Source organism: Homo sapiens, chromosome 11, assembly GCF_000001405.40.
Source record: "Homo sapiens chromosome 11, GRCh38.p14 Primary Assembly".
NCBI classification, from domain to species: domain Eukaryota; kingdom Metazoa; phylum Chordata; class Mammalia; order Primates; family Hominidae; genus Homo; species Homo sapiens.
The window spans coordinates 21,229,071-21,256,419 of NC_000011.10; the positions used below are offsets into that span (position 1 = coordinate 21,229,071).

Below are 27,349 nucleotides of genomic sequence, written 5' to 3' on the forward strand. Positions count from 1 at the left end.
CCTTAGTGCAGCACTTACCAATTGTGTGACGGACAGGAGTTGTTTGACTTCTCTGATACTGTTTCTTTACCTGCAAAGTAGGGATAATAACATCTTTCTTTCAGAGTTTAGATTTCAACAGGAACTTTTAGGCGCATAGTAAGGTACTGACAAGTGGTAGTCACTGTCATTCTTATTTGGTGAATTCCAGCTACATTTCCCAATACCAGTAATTCCAACTTAAGAAAAAGTATTTCTCTTTTTCTCTCACCCTGGAAACAGAACACGATGAATGTGGCAGCGGCCAGCACAACTGTGATGAGAATGCCATCTGCACCAACACTGTCCAGGGACACAGCTGCACCTGCAAACCGGGCTACGTGGGGAACGGGACCATCTGCAGAGGTAGGCTTGCCGCCTTAGTGTTGAGTTGTGAGCAGCCATTCTGCCTGGGCTCTTGGCACTTGTGCGTCGGACCTTCTTGGTAACTCTTGGTGGAACACAGCCAGGGTTCCTGCTCCTGGTTTATCAACTGGCAAGGGTACTGTGCGTCAGGGAAAAAGAAAAATGCTTCAGGTTTAGCTTTGGAGTTGAAAGAAAAAGGTATAGGTATGGGTCAGGGACACAGTTACATAACTTGATGGCTCTGTTCAGCTTTGCCTGTTGGCATGAGTTTGTGAGGGAAGCTTGGATTGCGGATATTGGCTTTTCTTTCCTGTGAGATTTTCCCCAAGGGCAAGTGGACACTGTTTCTGTCCACACTTGAGGTATCTGCTTGGGTAGGAAACTTACAGTTTTAGCCTTGCTCAGCGTCTGGGAGCAGTTTATCAATTCAGAGGCCAGCGCCCTGGCTTCCCTTAGCATTTAGAATAAAAATAAAATTCCTCCTTCTGGCTTATGAGGGCATTCAGCATCTGGTCCCTGGCTCCTCACAGCTGACACCTCTCTTTCCTCTCACCCTGAATCCCTTTACCTCAGCCTACTGGGTCCCTGTTATTCCTTCAGCATTGTTGTTGCCTCAGCCACAATGCTCATTTCTTTCATGTCTCTACTCAAATGTCTCCTCATCACAGAAATGTTCTTTGACCACCCTATCTAAAATAGTACGCTTAGTACTTCTTAGCCCACACCAGGCTTGATTTTTTTCTTCACAAACAACCTGACAGAACATCACAGGTTTATGTGTTTGCTTATCTCTGTGTTATCTGCCTCCCCACTAGGATGTAAGCTCCATGACAGTGAACACTTGGTCTTGTCCCCCCACTGTCCCTGGTGTTTAGATATTATCTGCCTCCCCACTAGAATGTAAGCTCCATGACAGTGAACACTTGATCTTCTCCCCCCATTGTCCCTGGCATTTAGAGTGTGACTTGCACACGGTAGGTGCTTGTTCACTATGTGTTAATTCACCAAATCACCAAAGAGGAAAGGCACAATCATAACGAAAAAATAGGCAACATGAACAAGAAAACAAAAGACATCCTATGAGGTAGGTATTATTATCCTTATTTTAGAAGTGATAAGATTGAGACACAGAGAGGTTAAATAACTTGCCCAAAGATACATAGTAAACACATTGTCAGTATTCCTCTGCAGGGATGAAATGCTGGTAATGAGTGAAAAATAATTTACAACGACTAAGTCACTATATTTATGGATTGGATTGGGGAAGAATTTTAAAAGATCAATTTTATTCTGTGTTGGTTAAGGTGAGGTAAGCAGAAAGCCTAATACATGACTATGAGTGTAAATTGGTAAAACTCATTTTTTTTTAACAGCAATTTGACAAAATTTATCAACATTCAAAGTACGTATTCTACTGATTCCATCAATTTTACCTCTTGAAATTTATTCTAAAAAAGCACAGGTTCATGAAGAGGGGGAAATGTGCATAGAATTTTTTTTGCAGCACTGTTTATATTCACTGAAAACTGGAAACAACCAAAATATCCATCAGTCTTGGAATGATTAAATTTATCTTGGCATATGAATTTTATAGAGCAGAATGCTATGGTTTAAAACTCTAAACATTTGTATGTACACGCACGCACACACAAACACATACATACATGTACACATCACATTGAAAGATACCCTACATATTTTTGAGAAAAAATAAAATAAATTCAAGTTCAGAACAATATAGTATCATCAAATATCTAAGTTAATATTTATAAATATCTATATACATATTTATGTAAATACATAAAGACTGGAAACATGCAAACTAGTCACCTTATTGCCCATGTGTGTGTGAAAAAAGAAAATTCACTTATTGCTATGAACTCCATGTTATTTGCACTTCTTCCAGTGGTCTTTTATATGTGAATATTTGTGCGTATTTTTTCTAAAGTACCCTGAAGCAAATAAACTAGTGCTCAGCTTTTTTAAAAGGCTAAGGAAATTTCCAAAGCAAAACAAGGAAACAAAAACGTTAATGTAATTCCAGGGATTATCAAGCCCACTGCTGGTACCTGCATGCTAGTGCTATAAATCTGAGGAGCAACATAGGGATTTTAATGCACTTTTTTTCAGAATTATGTTACCTCATAAAATAATATTAATTGCCCTTGTCCAGTGAGTTTGTATTTGCCGAGTCCTCTCTTGCCATTGTGATAAGTGGTGGTTTCACCTTCGTAGAATTTTGTAAGTCCAGCTGTGAAAAAATATGAGTTTAAATAATGTTCCTGATGTCCGCAGACTGTGAGGGGAAACATATCTTCCCTTGAAAGTTATGAATTAGGGAAAATAATTTTCTTAAAGTGATTGTCATAATCAATTGTGTTGACCTCAGTAAGGAAAAGTCTTGTGTTTTATAAATGCTGCATGGGAAAGCAATGTGGTATAGTTGAACAATTGGATAAAGAGCTTGTACTCTTCACACCTTCTTTCACTACTGGTTCTTTACACTGGCTTTCATTACTGGTGAATTGTAACTTCTATATTTTTACATATTAAAATTTGGTTAAGGCCAGGCGCAGTGGATCACACCTGATCCCAGCACTTTGGGAGGCTGCGGCGGGTGGATCACCTGAGGGTCAGGAGTTCTAGACCAGCCTGGCCAACATGACAAAACTCCATCTCTACTAAAAAAAAATAAAAAAAAAAAAATATATATATATATATATAAATTAGCTGGGCGTGGTGGTGTCCACCTGTAATCCCAGCTACTCGGGAGGCTGAGGCAGGCGAATTGCTCGAACCTGGGAGGCAGAGGTTGCAGTGAGCCGAGATCATGCTACTGCACTCCAGCCTGGGGGACAGAGCAACACTCCATCTCAAAAAAAAAAAAAAAAATTGATTAGTATTACTTTCCCTATTTATCTAACAGTATTATTGCATAGAATCACTAACGGAATTTATATTTGGTGTTTTAAACTGTAAAATGCTATACAAACTAAAGACTAGTATTAGCCTTATAATAAAGAAGAAGAAAGAGGAGGAGGAGGTTGGCAGTTTATGGCCTTCTGCCTGAAATAACCAAATTTGTGTCTCAATTTCAGGGCATATATTTTATAGTTAACTTTGCCACCTTGTAACTGAAACATTTACAGTGGGAGTTGGACAAGAATAACCAGACAACTTGAACTAAGTCTTTTTTATTTTCACTTTTTATTTTTTTGAGACAGGGTCTTGCTCTGTCACCCAGACTGGAGTGCAGTGGCTTGATCTCAGCTCATTGTAACCTCTGCCTCCCGGCTTCAAGCGATTATCCTGCCTCAGCTACTGAGAAGCTGGGGTTGCAGATGTGCCCCACCATGCCCAGCTAATTTTTGTATTTTTAATAGAGATGGGGTTTCACCACGTTGGCCAGGCTGGTTTCCAACTCCTGACCTCAAGTGATTTGCCTGCTTCAGCCTCCCAAACGGCTGGGATTCCAGGCATGAGGCACTGCTCTCAGCAGAACTAAGTCTTTTTAAGTGTTAAATATAGAAAAGCTTTTCTAGGCAGACATGGTATTGTTCATAGACTTGACTAAATCTGGTTAGAAGTAAATAGTTAACATGCCTTTTTATAAGCATTACATAAGACATCAGTTTCTGAAACAATACTAATTGGTGTGAATTCTCTCAGATGGGTTTCCGTGGTGGTCGATGCCCATGTAAGGCGTCTTTTCTTCTTTTGGATGGAAAATACTTGTTCAGCTACAAAAACTCTCATTAAGTATGTGCAAGACACCTTGATGTGTGTATTCATATATATGTTATCTCATTTAGTTCCCACCATAATCTTGAGAAGTTGATGCCATTATTCTATTTCACAAGTAAATTTTAAGTAAGACGTAGTTGAATCTGATTTAACTCAACTAGTGGAACTGCTTTTAGTTTTTTCCCTCCCTTTCCTCCTTTTCTTTGTCCTCCTCCTTTTCCTTCTCTTTTTATTTCCTCCTCCTCTCTTGGCTGTTTATCATTTAACTCTCTCCCTCACACATTGTATTCTAACTAGAAACTAAAGAGAAAATAGAAAGGGAAGAGAGCATACAATGATAACCTAGAATTTTTTTAAAAATTGCTCACATATTTAATAAATAGACTAAAGTCATTCTGAAACTATACAATATGTTTTGCTTAATAGTTTGGCATTTGAGTTTAAATGGACAAAATGCTTGCAAACAGTTTCAAGTCAGATTTGCATTACCTGACATGAAGGTTAGGCTTATCAGCAGCAGAGTGTTTATCTGCTTTCCCAGTCCTGCATTAATGCCAAAACAGAAAGTGAGCTTTCACTAGGCAGTTGTCAATATGCAGCTGATAGACTATGTCTTCTCTCTTATCTGTCATTAGCTCTGGATAGGATGTGGTGATCTTTGAAAGCATTCTTGTCTTAATGACTGATAATATTAACATTTATTTATAAAACATACAGTGAGTGTGAATTCTGTGTCTGGGCACCAAAAGAGCAAAAATAAATAAGACAAGTCCCCAGGGATTTCACCATTTAGTGTTGGGGAAAGATTTTAACAAATTCTTCCAACCCAACGGAACATTTACAAAATGGTATTATCTCGCGTGAAAGAGGCTTGAAAAGAATTACCCAAAATACAGAGCTATGTGTAAAGCATATGCATTAGTTAGGATTCCTTTGGTTGCAAGTAATAGAAATCCACTGGCAAACTGGCTATGTAACTTGCAGAACCCAGAGAAAAATGCAAGCATGGGCTCCTAGTTCGAAAAGCAGGAAAAACTTGCAAATTAAAGATACTGAAATACAAAGCTTTGAAATTTTCCCATGATCTCTCTCTTCTCCTGTCGTGGAGTTTTGTAGTTGCTATTTAATGTTGCTTCTTTAGGCTTGGGGATATTTTTGGGGTGAATGTTAACCCTGTAGGAGCTTCAGGCCCATCTTGCCACTTGGTATATTCATGTGGCCCACCAACTTTGGGGTTTCTCACTCCCTGACCAGTGCACCATGATTGGGCGTGGGACAGGGAAGTTGAATCAAGTATCTCCCCTTCTCTCAAGATATCTTCAAACCAACTTTAACGTTGACTGCCTTTCAAAGAAAATCACTACAGTAAAATTCAGGTCACTGTAGAAACTCCAGGAACATAGGTGAAATCTTTATTTTAAGGCTCTCCAGAATCCTGTAGTGCTCTGAAACCATTCATTATGAGTATGTTTGCATTGAGTGCATGTGCAGACAAGCTGCTTCCTGGAAGTTTCTGTTTGATGAGTTGCTGGATAAACTGTGTACAAGGAAAACACAGAAAGCCAGAAGCAGAAGGCCAGAGGTTTGATATAGACAGAAAGAGTAATGTGACAGATCATGCTAAAGATGTAAACAATCCTGAATTAAATAAGTCAAATAGACATCTCACATGTACAAAGTTGTTTTTCAGAGGCTCACAGGCAATATGAGAGAAAGGGAGAGGGAGAGGGAGAATAGAAAGGTAAGTTATTATAGTAAGGTATCACCAAGGATAATAAACTTTATAAACTACTGGGCTGTGAATCGGAGAAGATGAAATTTGGGGAGTTTGAAGAAGCAAGTGGAATAGGAAGCCTTTGGCAAAAGTACTTACAGCACTCTAGACATAGTTTTGAAACATGGTTAATGTAATGAGGAAGAATTCAGGAAGGTGCCAATCTAAAAGTCTGCCCTTAGGTGCCTTTATTTAGACAAAATATTGGAAAGAATGATGAGGGGCAAGACTGTCTGATATCAGGGGATGGTTTGGCTCAATTAGGGCCAGGTCCATCTGTAAAAACACATTCATATTGAAAAACGGGAGGATTGTAAGCATATTTCTAAGAGTGCTCCTCTGGTTATAGAGCAATTTCATAACAGTTTAAGAAAGGATTTGAGACTGTACCCCACATAGGATTGATTTATAAAGTCAGAAAACAGGTAGATTAGAGGTGGCTTAGGGTCGGACTCAATCAATCAGAAGAATCTTTGCAGCAAGTGTGGACTATGCTCATTATAATTAGAGCCAGTTAAAATTTCCCACCTATAGAGACTGATGGAGCGGGGAGGTATATCTTTGGTAGTGTTTAAGCTTCTCTTAAGGGTCATATTGAAATAACTGGACCAGGTGATGTTACTATATAAGAAATTTGACTTTCGAATTTCTTTAGAACTATTAGATGATTTGACCATAAATCATAAGCGTAAAGACAAGATTGATGTGAACATGGATGACAAAAATCCCTTTTAATTAAGTTTAAGGAGTTATCACAAAGTGCTCTTAACACAGGGATACAAATTTTTAACATACAATGGTAAGAATTAGTTTGTCAAGAGTATGCAGAGCCTTAATGTCATGCTTAAATGGACATAGACTGAAGGAGTGGGCTACAGAATAATGGAAAAACATACAATTTTTTTTCTCTTAATCTATTTTCTTTTGAATGAAGTCTAAACTTATTAGCAAGGCACTCAAGGCCCTGTGACATGTAGTCCCATATGAATAGTTTGAACCTCATCTCTTATGATATCATCTTTCCCCATTACCTTGCCAGTCACACCTGAGAGTTAACTAATCATTCTCCCAACAGACCAGGCCAGATGGATGATTTCATGGGCCCTTTCCCTCTCCTTGGGATCATTTATTATACTGGAGTGCTTAATTCTATCCTCTCTTCTTCCAACTGAAATCCTATTCATCCCTCACAGTCCAGCTCAAATCCCATTTTTCCTTGATCTTCTGAGTCAGAATAAATTGTTTGTCCTCTGAATTTTGCTTGTAGTATTCAATGTATTATGTCTTGTTAAACTTAGCTGTTTATATTTCAGCCTTTACCACACAAAACCTTGTGCATAATGGATGCTCAGTAAATACATAGATGCAAAATGAGAATTGACCAGTTGATTTAATGCAAATCAACCTGCTCTTGTAGCTTGGTGTATTAATTACTGCAGAATCTACACCATTATTCTGAAAAATCAAAGACAAATTAAAATTGTGAAGCAAATTTTTATGTATTACATATTTTAATGTTTTGGAAAATCATCAGTGGACCTGCTATTTAAGTTCAAAGACATTGTCTGTTGCATACAGAAAATTTATTCTATTTTATGTTTAATGCCTATAGATGCTGAAAGTCCTATAGACACTAAATATAGTTATACCAGAAATGATAAAATCCTTTGGCCTAATTTGAGAGGCAATAATTAGGCTAAGTCTAGCTTCCTTTTTGCATAATGTCTGTTTGAAAATCTTCTTTATTGACCCTTTTTAGACTCATTCAGTTATTCTGCAATTATAATATGAGCTAGGTTTAGAGCTGGGAGGCACTGAACATGCTGGACGGTCAAGACAACATGGGGGACATGACAAGTTACTAAACACACGTTAAGAAATAAAAGAAGGCCTGCCAGCCACCTGGAAGAAACATACTTTTGCCTATAGTTTGCCATTTGAAGAAAGGCTAATGTAAACAAAGTTTTACTACATGACTTAGGGACTGCAGATTGGCCATTTCACATCCTTCAAATCTGTAAAACATCTACAGGCTGATCTTTACTGATATATTGGCCAAATATTTTATTATAGCTTTTTACCCCTTTTCCTGAGATCTGTTATGATACAGCCTTCAGCTATTAATGTATTTCTTGTCCATGGGAACCTGGAATTAGTTCCCAGGAGGGCAAGGCACAGGACTATGGCTGAGCCACCCCACTCATTCTCCAGAACATTCAAATTGGGCAACTACCTGTACCTTGAGACTGTAGGATCTGCAATAATGTTATCAAGGTAGAAAGAAACAACATACATTTTCTGTAATTCTTCTTGTTACTTAGTTCTGTATAGTACCCCGGGCATTTAATTTTCTGATTAAGTCTCTTTGGGATGATCAACATTCCAAGATATTCAAGGCTCTTTACAAAAGGACTCTAAAACATGGTTCTAGATTTATTTTCAAGTATCCCTTTTCCACAAAACTGAATGAGTCTTTCTTTCTTACATGTGCCTCTTCTCTTTAGTTTTATAATTCGATCTTTTTTTCTCTTGTTAGAATGCCCACGTGTAATATCATTAAATATTTTTTACTTGCCGGAATGAATTTATAAATCAAGGCAGTCATCATAGAAGTTATTGAACAAATATTGATTGTGTACTTATGATGGGCCAGGCACTATGCTAGGCTCTGGTTATCTAACTGGAAAAAGACAAAGGTAGTCCAATGATCAGACTATAGTCTGAATGGAACTAAACCTCTCTGAAGCATTTAAAATCATCAATCTTTCCTTTGTTCTGTAAACATTTTATTTCAGAGATCCTTATATTCTCCTGGGTTTCCTTCTGTCTCAGGTACCTCCTCTGATTATTTGATGGATTCTTCTTTATAGTCAGTAAATGCTGTACTGGCTCAACATTTTCTCTCTCTTTTTCTTTGCCTAGGTAATTGTGTCCAAATATAACAGCTTTAAATACCATCTATATGCTAATGACTACTAAATTTATATCTTCAGTCCCAACCTCTTCCCTGATTTCTCCAGAGTTATGTAATCAATCACGTACTTGAAATGTCCACTTGGATCCCTTACAGGTATCTCAAACCTAGCACAACCAAACAGGATCCTTGATTCCTTCTTCACATAGTAGACTTCTCATTTCTACTTCTTGCCCATCTTAAACAATGGGATTACCATTGACCAGGTTGCTCAGATAAAACAATCTTAAGTATTTTCTTTGATTTCTCTCTCTCAGATTTGTCATCAACACATCAACAAGTCTATCATGTTTCCCTTCAGAATATCACAAATACAACTATTTCTTTTCATTTCCATAACTTTGCTTTAGTTTAACCCATGATCATCTCTCCATGGAATATTGCCCTAAAAAAAAGTAGATGTAGAATTTTGGAGGCTGTGGATTTGATGGTGCAAAGATGAGATATTATAATATGATAACTTCTATTTTCTCAATAAAATATTAAATGCAGTCATATATTGAAGAATGATGTTAGGACTGATGCTGAAATCACTGAGAAGGATGACCAGAGAAGAGACACTTTAATAAATGAGAGGTCGTAGTGGAGAGGCACAGGTTGGGGGATGTGGCAAAATGAGCTTCAAAGGAGAAAGGGGCTTTGCTGGAGGAAAGGGAAGTAGTCTTGAAATGAAAATGGGAAACAAAAAGTATTCACCCTCTTTTTCTGAGGTTCAAAGAATTATAAAGAAAAATATGGCCTCTGCTGAGTGGGTGGCAGAAGACCCAATTCTTAACTAAGATGGAAAACTGAAGAGGCTGTTGTAAGAGTTGTTGCTGATAGAGAATTCTATTATAACCATTAGGTGCATGGGCTTTGGAGGAAGACACATTGGGTTCAAATTTTGATATTTCTGTTTACTAGCTATGTGACTTCAGCAAGTGACTAAATTGTTGAAAAATTCAATTTTCTTCACCTGTGAAAGGTGATTGTAAAAGAACATACCTCAACACATAAGCTTATTTCTCTAAACCTTAGTTTCTTTATCTTTAAAGGAGAACCATAAGGGTAGTTACTTCACGTGACTGTAAAAATTAAATGAGATAATACACTTATGATACTTAGGTTAGTGTTTGGAACACAGTAGTTGCTCAGTAGACATTAGCAATTGTCAATATTATTATTAGCACGATGAAAAATCCACTGAAATTTTTCTCCTTACCATCTTCCCTGATATCATTACATCTCTCTTAGAACCTATGGTGTTTCTTGCTCTGTGGTACTTCATAAACATTATGTATATAATACACACCTATTTATGCATATGATAGTCATTTTGTGTCCTTATTTAATGCACTCATTGCCTTTTTAACATATGTTGTATACATTACTATATTTCCCATCATACCTATAACAGGGATGGATCGTCTCACTATTTGTTGGAAAAAATAAAAATCAATAATTCAAACTTTATGATCCAAGATACTGCCATATACATCTACCCACCCAAGTGTGGCATGTGCTCTTGAGTAGACATTGTCTTTTCATATGTGTGCTGGCCTAGTTGTGACCAGTGGGAAACATTCGTGAGACTCAGATCAGTATTCTAATATGTAGCCTGAAGCAGCATGGAATACATTTCTCTGTAGGCCATTTAAGTTTTAGCCATAAATAAACTCAGGATCACTTTGTTCCAGAAAAATGGAATAGTACCCTACCACTGCTTGTTGGAGGTATGAGGTATCATTACTTTTTTCTCCACTTCTACACATTTGACTCAGTAGGGGATAGATATGGGACAGTGTGGGAATCACAGTCCCACATCTATCTTTGTTCTCTTGAATCAAGTGAACCAAGATAGATGGTTCTTGGCTCTCTGGGACCATCAGACCCCACTGCAGGGCTGGCATCTTCTCACTTCTCAGTTGTAGGAGAAGGTGGAACAGGTGATGCAGAGACCTATTGAGATATTTGCTCTGCTGATAATGTAGAAATGGGAAGTTTTGGGGATCACATATGAGTGTGGGAGGTCCAAGAAAAGGAATGGCTTGTGCCTTGCTGGAGCCATGGTCTCTGGCAAACATGAACCAATCTTCATCATGCTTGCCACATAGACATTCCTCCTCATAAGGGCAAAAGCTATTACTTGGGTACAAAAGCAAAGAAATTCAGAGCAATCATTCCTCTACCATTCCCTCCTGAAGTCTGGAGAAGATAAATGATAAGGACTTTCTCCCATCCTCACTATTCCACCCCCAGAAATGCTACGTATTTTAGATGAACTGTTCATATTGTTTGTAAAAGTAGATTGGCAGTACTGTTAACATGATTATTAACTGCAGTGTTAGGCAATGTTAAAATAACTTCAAATTGTTTTGCAAAATCTCTGTCATAAAAATGCTTACCAACAAATACTGATACTAAATTTAGATGTGGGGGTATTAGTTATAATCCTGAAGTGGGAGGGGGAACTTCTTAATTCCAATTTAGTTCTAAGAGAAGGAAGAGTATTTAGGCCCAGAGAAGGTTACGCTTAAAGGTCTGATAGTGTTTTCTTTGAAAAATATGTCTCAAACTAGAGAATAAAACTAATTATCTCATCTAAGTTACCTAGAGACATTTATGCTCATCAGTTTGATAAAGGACTGCAAGTAGACACAGAAGCTGTATTTTCAGTCTTGAACCCAGCAATAGTACATTAACAAGATTGGGGCAAGGCAAAGGGACTTTTGTGGCACAAGATACAATATATGGATTGCGTTCTTTTGGCTTAACAAGGTGCACCTTGACGTAGTCTTGTCCTAGCCTTTAATATTCCTTTCCTTCAAGTGCCTTTCTAGTGGGGGGGGGGAGGGGGGAGTCTATTGGATGCGCTTAAAACACTTTCCATCACTTTCCAAAGTCAGCGCTTACCTTTTAAAGTTTGCAGCCCAGTAGACAGTAACTACATCCCTAGAGGCTTAAGGGAAACATGTTAAATCAGATCAGCTTGTATCTCAGAGGGAGTGGAAATCTGACACTTAGACAAGTGCTGATTCTTTTGAGTGCATTTCCAGGTTGCACTTTGCTGAGTTACATAGATGTTTGTTAACCATAATTGTCACATCTGAAATGACCCATAAGATTAGCAAAGCCGTATACATATATCAGTCAGTTTTATTTTAAAACAGGCTACCAAACATTGACTTTCTCTCAAGCAATCAGAATAAGATTGTTTTCCTTTCCTTAGTAACAATTCTCAATGGACCAGGAGACTTTAGGAAACATTACTGAAATATTTCATTGTCAATATGTAGGCTATCTACTGGATTATGATCTGTTTTGGGTAGCAGTTATTTGCAAAATATTCACAGTATTCAACAGCTGGTACTATTATAGAATGGCAGCCAGCTCTAGTTGATATGTCCACATCAGCTCAGGTTATGGGCAGAGTATTTGCCTTAAATAGAGCCAAAGAACTGTCTCACCTGGTTGGGTGCCATATTGTAAGGCAAGGTTAGCTTAAATAGATCTGTTACCTTTTAATGGCTGTTATGTTATGTAAACTAGCTTAGGCTTACGCCAAGTACTGTTACTGGGTCTGCTTGGTCCAGATGCTTCAAGAGGCTTCTCTTGACTCAGGTCTTTTTTAAGGCAACAAAGGATAAATTTAAAAATATTTACAAATAATGTACAAGTGTCAGCATAATTTGGGGGTAGTGCTAACTGTAGTCTTTCTGCCATCAGATATTGGTGGAATGTTTAACTAGGACTGACCAGTAGAATGTGTGTGGTTCTCACTTGCCTGTTTTCACATTTCTACTTATTTCTACCCCAAACAGAATTATGTGTTTGTTTTTTTCATTTCAGCCCTATGCATGCCACTCTGTTTGCTTTCTGCAATAAAGTTAGATATGCTTATAGTAGAGTTCATTCAGCTGTGTTTCATCTTTAAAACACAGCCATCTTCTGGTTCGACTGAATTCGATGTCTGTTTCTATTTTTTTTTTTTTTTTTGCCTAATTGTGTCATTTACAGCTAGACGTTTACTTCCAAGGACATGTGTGTTACACCTTGTCCTGTGAGAATAAACCAGTCAAATGACCTATTGTTTCACATTTCCTTGTCTGTGAATAGATATGATGGCATTTTCAAATTTTTTTCTCACTCTCAGCTCCTAAGTGAGAAAATGTTTACGGTAAAATGATGAACACATGAGAAACTGCTTGTTAAAGATAAGTAAATGATGGTAGATGCTGTAACAGATAAACTCCAAAACTTCAGTGGGTCCAACACAATATTATTTATTTCTCATTAACAGCTAATGGTGAGAGTGGTTGTGTGTCACAGTGATTCAGGAATACAGTCACTTTCTATCTTGTGTCTCTAACCTCTTGGTTTTCAGAATCCTTACCACTCCGTCAGAAGATGGGAAAAGAATAAAAGGTCAAACACGAGAGGTTTTTAGGGACCATTATGAAAGCAGCACCTATCACTTTTGTCTTGCATTGAATTGGCCAGAACTCAGTCCATGGCCACACCGAACAATAAAACAGAAGCTATGTGTGCCCAGGAAGCAGGGGAGAACACAGATATTGTTTGGTTCCAGCAGCCTCTGCTACACTGCTGTTGTAAATAAAATGCTACATGAATAAAATTAGCTGCATTATTGTTTGTAGAAAATAAACCTCATGTATTTCTGAAATGGATTCTGCCTGATACACTGTAAAGATCTCTTGTAGGCCTACACGTAAAAATTACTGTGAATATCCAGAGTTTAAATAACTCTCTGTTTGAGTAAACTCATCCCTTCCAACCGTGTCATCACCACTTTTCTCTGGCTTCAATCAAATTAAAGACAGTTGCTTTTTATCTAAGCCTCTGATGCTGCCAGTTTTAAGGAAAATTGAGAAACTGCTTTATGGGTCACTTGAAGTAGTACAAGGAACTCAATCATTAAATATCTTTTGAGTGAAACTTCTAGTGACATAATAGAATAACACTCCACCTGAGCTCTGGACCTTTCATAATCCTATTACTTACATAACTGATTCCCACTTGTCCATATGACAGTTCCCTTCCTGTTGTTAGTGATCATTTTTCCCCCAACTTGGGAATTTGTCCTTTTTAAACTTGCAACAGAGAATGATATGTGAATTCCCTCAGGCTGTGTTTTTCTATCACCCTACTCATTTGAGGATGATGCCATTTTTAATGTGGTATATTCTGAAAGATACTAGGCAGGGATATGGCAAAAAATCAAGTATTCATATCTATTAACAGTTTATAATTTATTTTAGATTTTTATTAGGAATAATGAACGAATCTAAGGTATACTTCTTGTAGGTAGAATATTAAAATTCCATAAAATGAATACTTTGCTTAAATAAGTGCATGTGTAGATGAGGAATTTTTCATATCTTTCTGAAGCATAGGCCGTTTTTGCACATGTAACTAGATGAGGTAGAAAATGATTTTGACTCAGCCTCCTAGACTGCTTAAAGCTAGGAAACAATCTTTGGGGTCTAGTGGGCAAACTCTGTTTTACAGATAAGAAAACTGAGTCTTGGTATCTTCACTTAAGTTACCTCTTTGAAGACTGTATTTGTAGAAGGAAAGCAAATTGTAATGAATTTCTTGGAAGAGGACTCGCTGTATCTTTACCAAAACAAAGCAAAATGCGCACATGCACATAACACGTGAATGCTATGAGATTAGTAGAAGACGTAAAGGCTCTAGAACAGTACTGTTCAACTGAAAGATAATGTGAACCACATATGTGATTTAAAATTTTTTAGAAGCTGCCATAAGAAAGATACTAGACACAGGTTAGACACATCTCAGTTCAGACTAGCGACATTTCAAGTGCTCAGCAGCCACCTGTGGTTAGTGGCTACCATAGCCATTGTAAAACTTTCAGTGTAGGTTTAAATTAATTAAAAAAAAAGGCACACTCTTTAATCTGCACCCTTAAGCACACAAAGGGGTGATCTCTGGAGAGGCAGCAGGGCACCCTTAAAATGAAATGGTACTTTCCATTATTTTTTTTGTTATGTTGAGCAGCCCAAGTCTGGCTTTTGGTGGGATGCAACATTGTAGCATTTATTAAGCAGACAGGTAGCTGGAATCCATATACCAGAGGTTGAGAATACCTCATTCCTTCTACAGCATAACATTTCCTGTCTCTGGATGGAACTTCACCATAAAGTCAGATATTGAATAGAAATGAGTAACATTCATTAAACTTCAAATTTTACTAAGATAAGAGAGTAGGAGAAAAAAGAACACAACAAATCTATAGCATTTACTTTCGTTGCATTTTAAGATCAATTTCATATTAAAAACAGTTCATGAGAGAGCAGACATAATGATTTTCATAATGATCTGCTCACTGTGCTGATGCTTATTAACTTTAAATAGTGACATGCTCTGCAGGCTCTCTTACAGCCATTAGACAGAGAAGAGCCCATGCATTCTTGAGGATAGGGAAACATGGCAATTTGTGGATAATTTTCTGACATGCTTAAGCACAGCACTTAGTGGGATCATACTTGAATGCTGAATGTACAGAGAATAAAATCTCAATGTAGACCAAGATAATTTAGAATTTGGAATAATTTTATAGAAATTGAATTAGCAGTACACATCCCCAAACATTATAAATTTAAGGACTTTTGAATATGACACTCTTGGACTCAAATCCCAACTCTGGCACATGTCTGATCTGGGGCAAAGTCTCCTCACTTCTCTGAGTTTGCTCTCTTGCCTGAAGAATATTGTCTTCCCATGTTGCCTGTCTCTTCCAGGATAGATACTCTCAAATTCATCTAGCACATAGGTGGAGCCAGAGAGATTGTCCGTGTTCTACCTGCAAGCAAGGTGACTGAGTGGTGAAGGTCACGGTTTCTGGAGCTAGACTGCTTGGTTGGAAGTTTGGCTCTTCTACTTAGCTAGTGTGCCATCTTGGGCTAGTCACTTAACTTCTCTGTGCCTCACTTTTACAACTGGGGATAATAATTGTGTCTATCTCCATGGATTGTTTTTAAGATTAAATGGAGTGTACTGCTTAGGGCACATCCTGGCATATAAATTGTTGCCATTAGGTATCTATCTATCTACCTTATGACTCCATGCTTAAGATCCTGCCATGCATCCTTCTTACATGTTACATTGAGGATGGAATTAGCACTTCTTAGTGGGATACACAGGCCATTCCTAATTTAGTTCTCACCTGCCTCTGTAGCCTCATTTCCTTTTCCCCCACACAAAACCTGTATTTTAGTCAAACTAAAACTACTCATAGTTTTCCAAGTCTTCCCTTCTTCCCTGCTGTGAAATAGCTCAGTGGTTAAATGCATGAGGCTTTGGAGTCAGTTGCCTGTATTCAAAGCTGGGCTCTAGCTCTTGGCAATTTCTGTGGCCTTGGAAGTTACACAAGCTTCTGTGAACCTGCTTCCTCAGGTTATAAGAATGAGATGAGAAATAAATAAAGTGCTTGGCACAGTGCTTGTACACAGTAAATTCTTAGCTGTTGTGTCCTCAGTTGGAAGGAAATATCTTTTCTCTCATTTTTATTTGGCTTTTCCTTGTCGTTCAAAATGAAGTTCAGGTTTTACCTCCTTAAGGCAGTTTGTTTTCACCTCTACTCTGTGTCCAGAATATCACTCTCTGTCCTGGCATTTATTCACACTGCACTGTACTTGTTAATTTGCTTAATCTGTTTCCCTCACTGGCGTAGGCAGGCGGACAATGTATCCTTGTCATCTTTGTGTCCCAAAGCTTATCATGTATGGGTTATTTAGTAAATGTTCATTGAGGAAAACATGCAATAAAATAGTTGTGAGGATTAAGTGAAATTACCTATTTTGACTGCTTGGCACATAGTAGGAACTCAGTAATTACAAAATACCTTTCTCTTAGACTTACCTTTAGGTATTTATGTTATGAAGGGGAAGGTTTTAAGCTGTACTAAGAAAATTAAGAGTCAATAAATAAGGATCCTGCTCAATGCACAGGCACTTTAGATTCAGTCTCTGTTTGGATGTGTCTTTGGGCATCAGAATAGTGACAGCAATCATCTGGTCCACCAGATTCAAATTATTCCATTTAATACAAATTGTTTTTTTTTGACTCAAAGAATGTTGAAATAATACAGATATAGTAAAGTATGACCATATACCTGCAAGCCCACCCATATGACAGTAATAACAGCTAATATATATTGAGCGTCTATATGTCAGGCACTGGGCTAAGAACTTTACAGCATGTATCTCATTTAAATCATACCAGTTTTCTATGAAGAAGGCAGAAGTATTGTCTCCATATTATATGTGAGCAAACTGAGGTGCAGAAAGGATGTCTGAGGCAATCAGCTATGTAGTTTAGGCTAGAGTGGAGGTTAGATGTCAAGAAAAGGTTTATGTAACACTGAAATTGTCATGTGTGTAGATATCAGCATTAGCAAGCTTGGAGAATGCCAAAGCTTTCCATGGAATGGAAAGAGCTGTAAAGGATACAGACATTTCGAGCATGGACATGGATCTAATTATAGTCATGTATTACTTAATGATGGAGATATGTTCTGAGAAATGTGTCCTTAGGCGATTTTGTTGTTATATGTATATAATACAGTGTACTTACACAAACCTAGATGGTATAGCTTACTACATACCTAGACTCTACGATATGGCCTATTTTTTCTAGGCTACAAGCCTATATAGCATGTTACTGTACTTAATATTTGAGGCAATTATAACACAATGGTAATATTTGTCTATCTGAACATATTTGTATTAGTCTGTTTTCATGCTGCTGATAGAGACATACCCGAGACTGGGTAATTTATAAAGAAAAAGAGGTTTAATGGACTCACAATTCCACGTGGCTGAGGAGGCCTCACAATCATGGCAAAAGGCAAAAGGCACACCTTACATGGTGGCAAGCCAGAGAGGAGAAATCTCTTATAAAATCATCAGCTCTTGCGAGATTTATTCACTATCACAAGAACAGTATGGGGGAACCGCCCCCATGATTCAATTATCTCCTACTGGGTCCCTCCCACAACATGTGGGAATTATGGTAGCTACAATTCAAAATGAGATTTGGGTGGGGACACAGCCAAACCATATCAATATCTAAACACAGTAAAAATGTGGTATAAAAGATAAAGAGTGGTACACCTATATAGGGCACTTACCATGACTGGAGCTTGCAGGACTGGAAGTTGCCCTGGGTGAGTCAGTGAGTGAGTGGTTGAGTGAATGTGAAGGCCTAGGACATTGCTGTACACTATGGTAGGCTGTATATACACTGTACACTTTGGCAACGCTACATTTATTAAAATATTTTTCTTCAATAATAAATTAACTTTAGCTTATTATACCTTTTTTACTTTATAAACCTTTATATTTTAAAATCTTTTTGACTGGTTTGCAATAACACTTAGCTTAAAAAACACATTGTACATCTCTGTAAACTAATTTCTTTATAGCCTTATTCTATAAGCTTTTGTCTATTTTTAATTTTTTTTTAACCTTTTGAGGTTTTTTGTTTAAAATGAAGACAAAAACACACACATCACACAGGGTCAGAATCATCAGTATCACTGTCTTCCACCTCCAACTTTTGTCCCGTTAGAGGGTCTTCAGGGGCAATAGCACGCATGGAGGTGTCATCTCCAATGGTAACAGTGCCTTATTCTGGAATATCTCCTGAAGGACCTACGTGGGGTATTTTGTGGTTAACTTTTTAAAATATGTAAGTGGGACTATACAACAATGATTAAAAACAATAGCACAGTAAAGACATAAACCAGTAACATAGCTGTTTGTCACTATCAACTCTTATGTACTGTATATAATTGTATATGCTATACCGTTATATGATTGGCAGCACAGTAGGTTTGTTTACACCAGCATCACCACAAACATGTGATTGATGCACTGGGCTACGACATTATGACCAATAGGAATTTTTCAGCTCCATTATAATTTTTCAGCTTCCTTATAATCTTATGGGACCACCATTTTATATGCAATCCATCATATGGACGGTGGAGGAAGCATTCTCTGAAGAGATGGAGGTATAGAGAAATTTCATTCCCATTGGCAGAAATTTTAAAAGTTATAGCCAGTATCTCTGGTACAAAAAAGAGCAGGAGGCCGGGTGCAGTGGCTCACGCCTGTAATTCCAGCCTTTTGGCAGGCCAGGGCTGGTGGATGGCTTGAGCTCAGGAGTTCAAGACCAACCTGAGCAACATGACAAAACTCCATCTCTACCAAAATACAAAAAATTAGCTGGATGTGGTGGCACGCACCTTGTGGTCCCAGCTACTCAGGAGGCTGACATGGGAGGATTGCTTAAGCCCAGGATGTCGAAGCTGCAGTGATCCGAGATCATGCCACTGCACTCCAGCCTGAGTGACAGTGAGAGCCTGTCAAAAAAAAAAAAGAAAAGAAAAGAAAAGAAACAACATAACAAGACAAAACAAAGCAGGAGAGAGGAAGTGCAGTATCTGATTGTAAGTTTGAATTGAGGTGGATATAGGGATGGACTGCATTTTGGGTGATGGCAAGAAATCAGAGGTTTGTGGCCACTGTTTAGATTAGTCTCAGCCTTCAAATGGTGGTTCCTGAGGTAGAGTCTGGGGAATGATAGCTGTAGAAACTGGATTACAGAGAATTGAGGAGAAAGTAGGTGGTGAGGAAACAAGGACAGCTCAAGTGGAGAATAGGACATCTGTTACTTTTTGCCACCCAGCGTTCTTTTACCCTGCTGCTAAATGTTTCTCGATTTCCTTCTGGGACCCACCCGTGCTCGCTTTCAGTCCATATGGATTTAGCATTGGAACTCATAACTTTTCTTTAAGACCATTATAACAGTGCATTTTCCTGGCCACAAGGACTGGTTCAGGATTTGTCCTGTTACACAAGCCAATCAAAGTAGGTTTGTTTTTGTTTTTTATCCTGGTAATATTGGACAATGAGTCTCATTTTTCTACTGTGGGAGGGAATCTGGAAGAACATGATGACAGGGAAGAGGCTGTCTGAGGAGGAAGCCAACAGAGAGAACTGAATAAAGGGATAAGGTTGAACCAGATCCTGATGATACTGTTGCTGGGGGGCCTCTATACCCAGCCCTGCCTGAAGTCAGGACCACCCCCTAGTTTTGCTTAACCCCATTTAATCAGTTTCTGTCATTTTTTAACAAAGCACTAACTGCTTGTAGGGTAACTCAGCTTCTATGTGAAGAAAAGCAGTAAGAATCCTTCATATCCTAATGGGAAAATCATTGTATTTTTATGAGGGTGAGATATATTTGGTGTAGAGATTATGCAAATCTGGTGATCAAGGTTCTTATTATTAAGCCAAAGGGAAGACAGTGTTTTAGATGGAAGAATAATTAGTAGGTTTGACTACAAAACCTATGCATTTTTCCCTCAGGCATGACCACATTATTATCAATTTCAACAGATATATTCTTGAAAGAAGGTTTTTTTTTCTTATTCACTAAAACAGTTACTTATTTTTTTTTTCATATTTGATAGCAGCTTTTTTTATTGGTTACAAAACCTAAGCCCATATACAAAATTAGGAACACATTTAGATGCCTCTTTTGAAAGAACATTTTGTCTTTTTAAACTGAGTTTAAAAAAAATAAAAACAATGCAATTTTTAAACACTATTTTGAAAACTTAAAAGTGCAGCAATATACTTAGTTTCCTTTATCTACGAAATGGTGCAATTCCAATTCAAAACTGGTAAGGTCACAAATTGAATCAAGGAAATGCATACAAATGTCTGCATTACTTGATGCTAATGTTCACTTGAATGTTAGTTTGCACTTTAAAACATGAGAGGAAATAGGAATCATCACAGTAGAGGCCCAATTTTAATCATAATGTGTGCAAATTTTAAAAGGTAACTGTCAGTTAAGTAAGGAAAGTCCAGAAGAAACTAAACTGGAAGGGGTACAGTTCACAATATCAAGAAGATTTGGACAAAAAACTGCAAAAGTCTAAAATACCCATTGGTGATGTTTTTTAAAAAATCTTGCTTTCAGCTTTCAGGAGTTAATATTCTTTGTTTTAACTTGATAATTGGATATGGTTGATTTATATTGGGTTTAAACTGTGGAGCTTTCATGTTTACTGTAATTTAGTCTTAAAATATTTTTTACTTAGTAACCAGTACTTTTGCTAATGTGGTTGGCAACAAACCAGCAACTATTTAAAAGTGTCATAAGGGTTCATTCTTTGAGTACTGGGAAAGTTAATTCAGATCCTACTCAAAAAGCATCTTCACATATTAAAAGATTCAGACAGGGATCTGTGTAGAGGAGTAATTTGCAGTTATTTAACATAAACCTGATTTGCAGTGATCTCTAAGTAACAGTTACTTATTGTATGAATGCATATGTGGGCTTTTTAGGTACTTTTCTCCTCTCCACTCCACTCGGGGGCCTTTCAGTTTAGGGCTATGACACAGCCACCACTTTGCATCATTTACACCATCCTGAAAACCTGCAGGGCTCTTCCTTGCTCCTGGCTGTTGGAATTGAAATATCTTTTTCCTCTTCTTCAGAATGGTGTTTTGATTTCTTATCAGCTGCCAGCTGGATTTGAAGGCCTATAGCCTAATCACCTAGATAGATAAGGAAAGTTGTCATATTTTGTCTTTGGCTGATAGGAATTTAGAACACAAACAAACTCAAAAGAGTCAACCTTTGGGTAAGATTAAACCAGTGACTCTAATTCAGATCATTCCATAAATTGTATTATCTTGAGCAAAACACTCTATTCCTTGACATTGCAGATTATAAATGTTGGGAATAAAGAGAAATAAGTGAATCCCAAACCTTTTTATATTATGATACACATATAAATTATAATGTTTGATAGGTACATGGAAATAAATAGATGAGGCTTCTCACTGCTAAAGGTGGCCAGGCTGGTTTGAGGGGATCAGTAGCTCAGCATACCTTACCCTATTCTTGACACTCTGGTTGGGAAGCTCTTGAATTTGTAAACCATATGGACTGGGTTTTCGTCCTGGCTCAGTCACTAAGCCCCACTACGTTCTTGTGGCATTCTCTTTTCCTTTTGAGTCCTCGGTTCTGAATGCTTAAATGAGGAATCTGAGGTCTAGTTCAAATGTAAATGCCATTTATCAGGCATATATAAAAAAGCATTATCAGATATAAAAATGGAGGTTTTTGAGATATACTGAGACTTTAAGCATGAAAGCATCTATAAGAGTTTACCACTTAGATCTGTTTAATTACTGCTAAGGACACTTACTTTTTAAAAAACAGCATGCCTACATTATCTAGATACCTGTATGACAGTATGTGATGGACAGTGTCAGGGTCTGACTTAAGCACCCAGAGATTAGTCACAGAATTTCTGAGGTGAGGGCATTCAGATCCTCTATTCCCCCAATATAAAAGGAGACTCTTTAAAAATCATCATTGTATAGTTGCATAGAACATCATGCAAATATGCAATTGAAGATCCAAGCATATAAATCCATAATCTTATACATTATTAACTAGCCTAACCCTCCTTAGTCAAATATAATCACATGAAGTTAGAGACAATTTAGTTCCAGTAACATACTACACTCTCTCCCAGCCCCCCACCTCCACCCGCCATCAACAGCAAGTGCAGACCACTTTCATGGGACAGGGCAGCACTAGATCCACCAGGTAGGAATATTTAGGGACAAATGATCAGGATGTAAGGAAGCTGAAGTTACCACCAGGCAGTGCTCATTCTGGTGGGCAAATCCAGGGTCCAAGGGAATCAATAATTAATGATCATAGTCCAGGTAAACTTTGGCAATGACATGAGGAGGTTCAAGGCGATGGAATGGATCACCATGAAGAAGACTTTGGAGTTGGAAATATTCAATGAACCAAGCAGATTTTGGCTTCAAGATGGTCTGTAAGTGAGTAGTTATGTTACATACACTAAGATGAAGTTCTGGAACAACTTCAATGATAGAGCTTCAGACTACCGGAAAATCAAGGGCAAGAACAAGATTAATGTTCATGAAAGAACAGGGTTGTGTTCATTGAATGCACACAGGCACACACAGAAATTAATGGACACATATGGAGTGTTTACACGCAAGACTGTGTCACATGTTTACACACACTGCTCCATTTAATTCTTGCTAAATCTCCAAAGGACATTCATTATTCTATTTATAGATGAGACAACAGAGACTTAGTAGCTACCAATAGTCACACAGTTAGTAAATGGCAGAAACAAGATTCGAACTCAGGTCTGACTTCAAAGTTCATTTTCTTTTCACTGGTATGTTACAGAGGCTAGGTAACTAGGATCTTGAGAATAGGGACCAAGGAAGAAACACTGAGTAAAATGGGTAGATCCAATTGGTTTTCCTATTGTAACATTGGTTTTGGGGGCAGGTATACCTGTGCCTTAGGTCAGGTTTGATCCATGGAATGGGATAAAAAATGGAGCTAGATCAGGGATCCAGAAGCACAGACCAGAGACTTGACACCAAGTTGTGCCTGACACTCCCGTTTGACCATGCGTAAGTTTCTTTCAAATCTCATGCAGCTAAAGGAAGGTATTTTCATCTGAAAAATTATGGCATGTTATACTTTTTAGGATAGCAGTTTGAACCTCAAAATGAGCTCAGATATATTTTGATATCCCTTGCTAAATTTAGTCAAAAGCTATCAAGTCCCTCTGTAATGAATTTATAATTGGGAATTAATCAGAAATGGAACTAAAATGGAAGCTTCTCATACTCTGATCAAACGTGGAGTTTGAGGTTTTGCTTTCATTTATATGTTTAATCTTTTAGTAGAGCTATCCAAAGAAGGAAAACACTCAGGATAAGTAAGAAGGTCATTAAGAATAACACAAAAGTCTCAAATATTAGATTCTAATCTCTTCGAAGGCAGCTTTCTATTACTTAAACTTAAACATGGTTTTGCATTCTGTGGCCTCTCAGCACCTACCCCTGATTAATAACTTTACAACTTAGTAATTCATGGTCTTGGAGTGTACAACTGCTAATAGTTGAGGTAGCCTAGTCTATACTTTACTTTGAAGTATTTATAGTTGAGTAAATTTATAAAATTTACATTGTTGTAAGTAATCAAATGTCTCTGTGGTTAAGGGTTATCAAGAAATGGTGGAAAACACCTCATTTGTAGACAACCAGGCATTTTAGAGCTAGAATGACCTTTAGGGATCATCTCTCCTATTTAAAGGTCAGGATGCCCTGGGGGAAGGACATACCTATAACCTCTTAATGAAAGAATGAGGCTGAGAACCCAAGTTCTTTAATTCTTGGAAATCTTTTCTTTATTCCATGATGTCTTTCTAGACTATTTTGTTAGTTTCATGGCTATTTTTATCTGTCTGTATATACTGCTGTATATACTAATACTGTAGTGATAGAGTGGTAATTATGATTTACATAGCAATTTGCCTGTTCTCAAAGTAATTTCCACTGTGTCATTTTCCAATGTTTCTAAGAATAACCCTTTAGGTAAATACTGTCTTCAACCTTGTTTTATAGATGATGAAACTGGGATTAAAGAAGGGAAGTAACTTGCTCAAGGTCATACTACAAAGACATACTAGAGCTCAGATTCAAATGCAGATTCTCTGAATATGGAATATATTCTTCTTCCAATGTATTGCTCATAAAGGCAACCATATATATTAATCCAACTTGTGATACTTTTGGGAGTGAGCTATTACTGGTTTCATTGGCAAAACAGCCAGTTCCATATTAGACAAATTGGGATAGAACATGTGATCATTCTATAATTCACTCTATAATAGTCAGTCAGCCAAGGATATATTAGATGTCTAAAGGCAGGGATGTGACGGTTAAAACAAAACAAAAAAACACAGCTTCTGCCATTGAAGAGATTATAATTTTGTGAGGGCTATAAACAAGCAAATCAAGGCAATTAAACAATGTAGTGTGGATATACTCCAATGGAGAAAGGAGGAACCTCAACCTCTTAGTTTAAATTTGAAGGACTAGGAAGGTTTGAAGAAGTTATTTTTAAGTTGACTACTGAGGGGATGCAGATATGAGACAGATAAACAAAGTCAGAGGTTTGCAGAGGGACATGTGGTGAAAAAGAGAAAGAAAATCCATGTAAAGGAACACTGTGGATCAGTTGCAGGGAAGAGCATAGCATGTATATGGAGCTTACTCCTTCTCCATATGCCTGGTCATTCAATTATCAAAATTGCCTGAAAAATATAGGCTACTGATCTACACCAAGAATTTCTTTTCATAGCATTAGGCAATGAAAATAATAAATGTGTCTCTGTGAAGTCAGCATATGTTAAGTATAAGACTAATTGCAAGACTAAATAGAACATTCATAATGGTACCTGAAGAAAATATGATGATAGAAAAAAGCCATTTCCTCTCTACCAAAGAAATTACATTATGGAAATTGCACCATCAGAATGAATTAATAGGTGGCTTAAAAAATTCAATGCCCAGCAAACAAAGGCATAAATTAAGTATCATGAGAAAGGTTAATGTTAAGGTAACATTTGCTCAATTTATACGAAAAAAAGACTTCATGGAGAAAAGGGGATGGGTCAGAAAGGAGATTTGAAATTGGACAGCAGGAGAGTTAACATACACATGCCCGAGGGAGCTGAGATCTGTGGAACTGCCTGGAAATTCGTGTTTGTCTACCAGCCATTTTCAAAAATCTCTGGCCAGGCTTGTGTTTGTTAGTAAGTCCTTGGCGGTTCAGGTGGCAGATACACTGGTGAACATTGATGAAAAGACCAAGCTGAACTGATCTAGTTGGTGAGCTTTCTATTTGCTATTAAGTAGAGTTTTGCTCTCTCTTCTTTTCACAGTACATTTCACAGCCATTTCTGAAAAAGCCCAGCTGTGCCGAGATGGCCACTGAGGGGATACAGTGTGGTTGCATGGAGTTCAGAGACATTTGAGAGCAGCTGAGCAAGCCCCACAGCCTTCAAACACTCATTGAATTGCCTTCCAGAAGCATATTCTTTCACCTTTGTGTGACATGAGAGGGAGCAGAGGGAATGGTAATGATCTGAAATGACAGACATGCTGGGCTAGGATGAGCTAATTTACAGGGTAGAATGCACTCTCCAAATTAACAACAAAGAGACTAGGTGTCCCATGCCCTGTCCTGAGGCCTTTAATGGAGCCAAGTGAGAATATCCTTAACCCTGGGTGGAGTGGTCTTAAAAGAACTATTCGGGTGACAACATCTTCCCCCCCGGAGGTTAAGCTGAGGTTGACATTTATCTTGTCTGTCCACAGAAGCTGAACTTCTGAATCTGACATCTCAGCTTTCTTAAGATTGTTGATAACCTGTGTTCTTTAAATTTCTGTTTCCCAGGAAAGTAATTGTGTTGTTCTTTTAGTGATGGAAAAGCAGAGAAACTCTCCTTAAGAAACCCCCAGGATATATTGTAAGGCAAATAGGCTTTTCTGCTTGAATCATCTACTACAGAGCTAACCACTAAACTCAGAACTTTCTTAGAAAAATATCTTGTGTGCACTAGCTTTGGAGGAAGAATTAGAATGCAATTTGGCAAGATTGCATTCAGGCAAACATCTGGGGGAGAAAAAAACAACTTCAGTATAGCTCGAAAGCTGGAAATGAAGATGTACTGCTAAAGAAGTTACATGTCATACATTTCTACAGTAATCAGCCTGTGTCTCCTCTTCCTTTCCATTTCCTAACACAATTTAATTATTGCATTTCCTGATTGCAGATTATATTTCTTCTATTTTTATATTTGATTATAGAAATATGCTAGAAAAAATAAAGTTTCAGACATACCCAATTCATTCAGGTCTCATTAGCTTGTGCCTACCTATCCAGATTCACTTTTTACTCTTCTCACTTCCACTTCTAATGGGGAACACCTCTTGCTTTGTCTATTTTCATACTTTTGTACTTGCTGGTATTTCTGCTTGGAATTTTCTCTGGGTTTCAACTTTTTAAGAAAATGTTTCTTTTTAAATTCCTTTAGCGCTCAAACATGTTTCTTCCTTTCTCCTCCCATTGCAGACAATTCTTACCTTCATTCTAACACTCGGTATATATATCATATTGTGTCTTTATGTAGCTGTCTCCCCTCCCAGGCTGTGATTCTCTTAAGAACAGACCTAATATCTTTCTTACCTTCATTGCCTAGCATACCATCTGGTCCATAAAGAGCATTCAGTGAATGGATGTCCAACACGACCATTCATGTTTGTGACATTTATTTTTCCAAGGTTCTTTCACTTTGTACCTATATGATATGTAATTTTTACCTCTACTGAGCAATCTTTATATAATGTATATTTGCTCTCTCTGAGAACTAAAGATAGACATAAAGATTGGGGCAACTTGACTTGAGCACATAAATGCTACATTTAGTGGATTTATTTCTGCACTGTGTAGTTAACAGAACTGAAGAGCTACTGATCTGAGTCTGAAGCCAGGTAGAAAACAAATCAAGTGGC

At 37.7% G+C, this 27,349-nt stretch overlaps 1 protein-coding gene across 4 annotated transcripts in view; it reads left to right on the forward strand.

The window, feature by feature from the left end:
* The window catches only part of NELL1 (neural EGFL like 1), a 906,136-nt gene that overhangs the window by 559,520 nt on the left and 319,267 nt on the right, over window positions 1-27,349 (forward strand). For all 4 annotated transcript variants that reach the window (NM_001288713.1, NM_201551.2, NM_001288714.1 and 1 more), the window contains one exon: window positions 262-384. In NM_001288713.1, coding sequence (NP_001275642.1) covers window positions 262-384 — 123 coding nt within the window. The remainder of the gene's footprint in view (window positions 1-261; window positions 385-27,349) is intronic.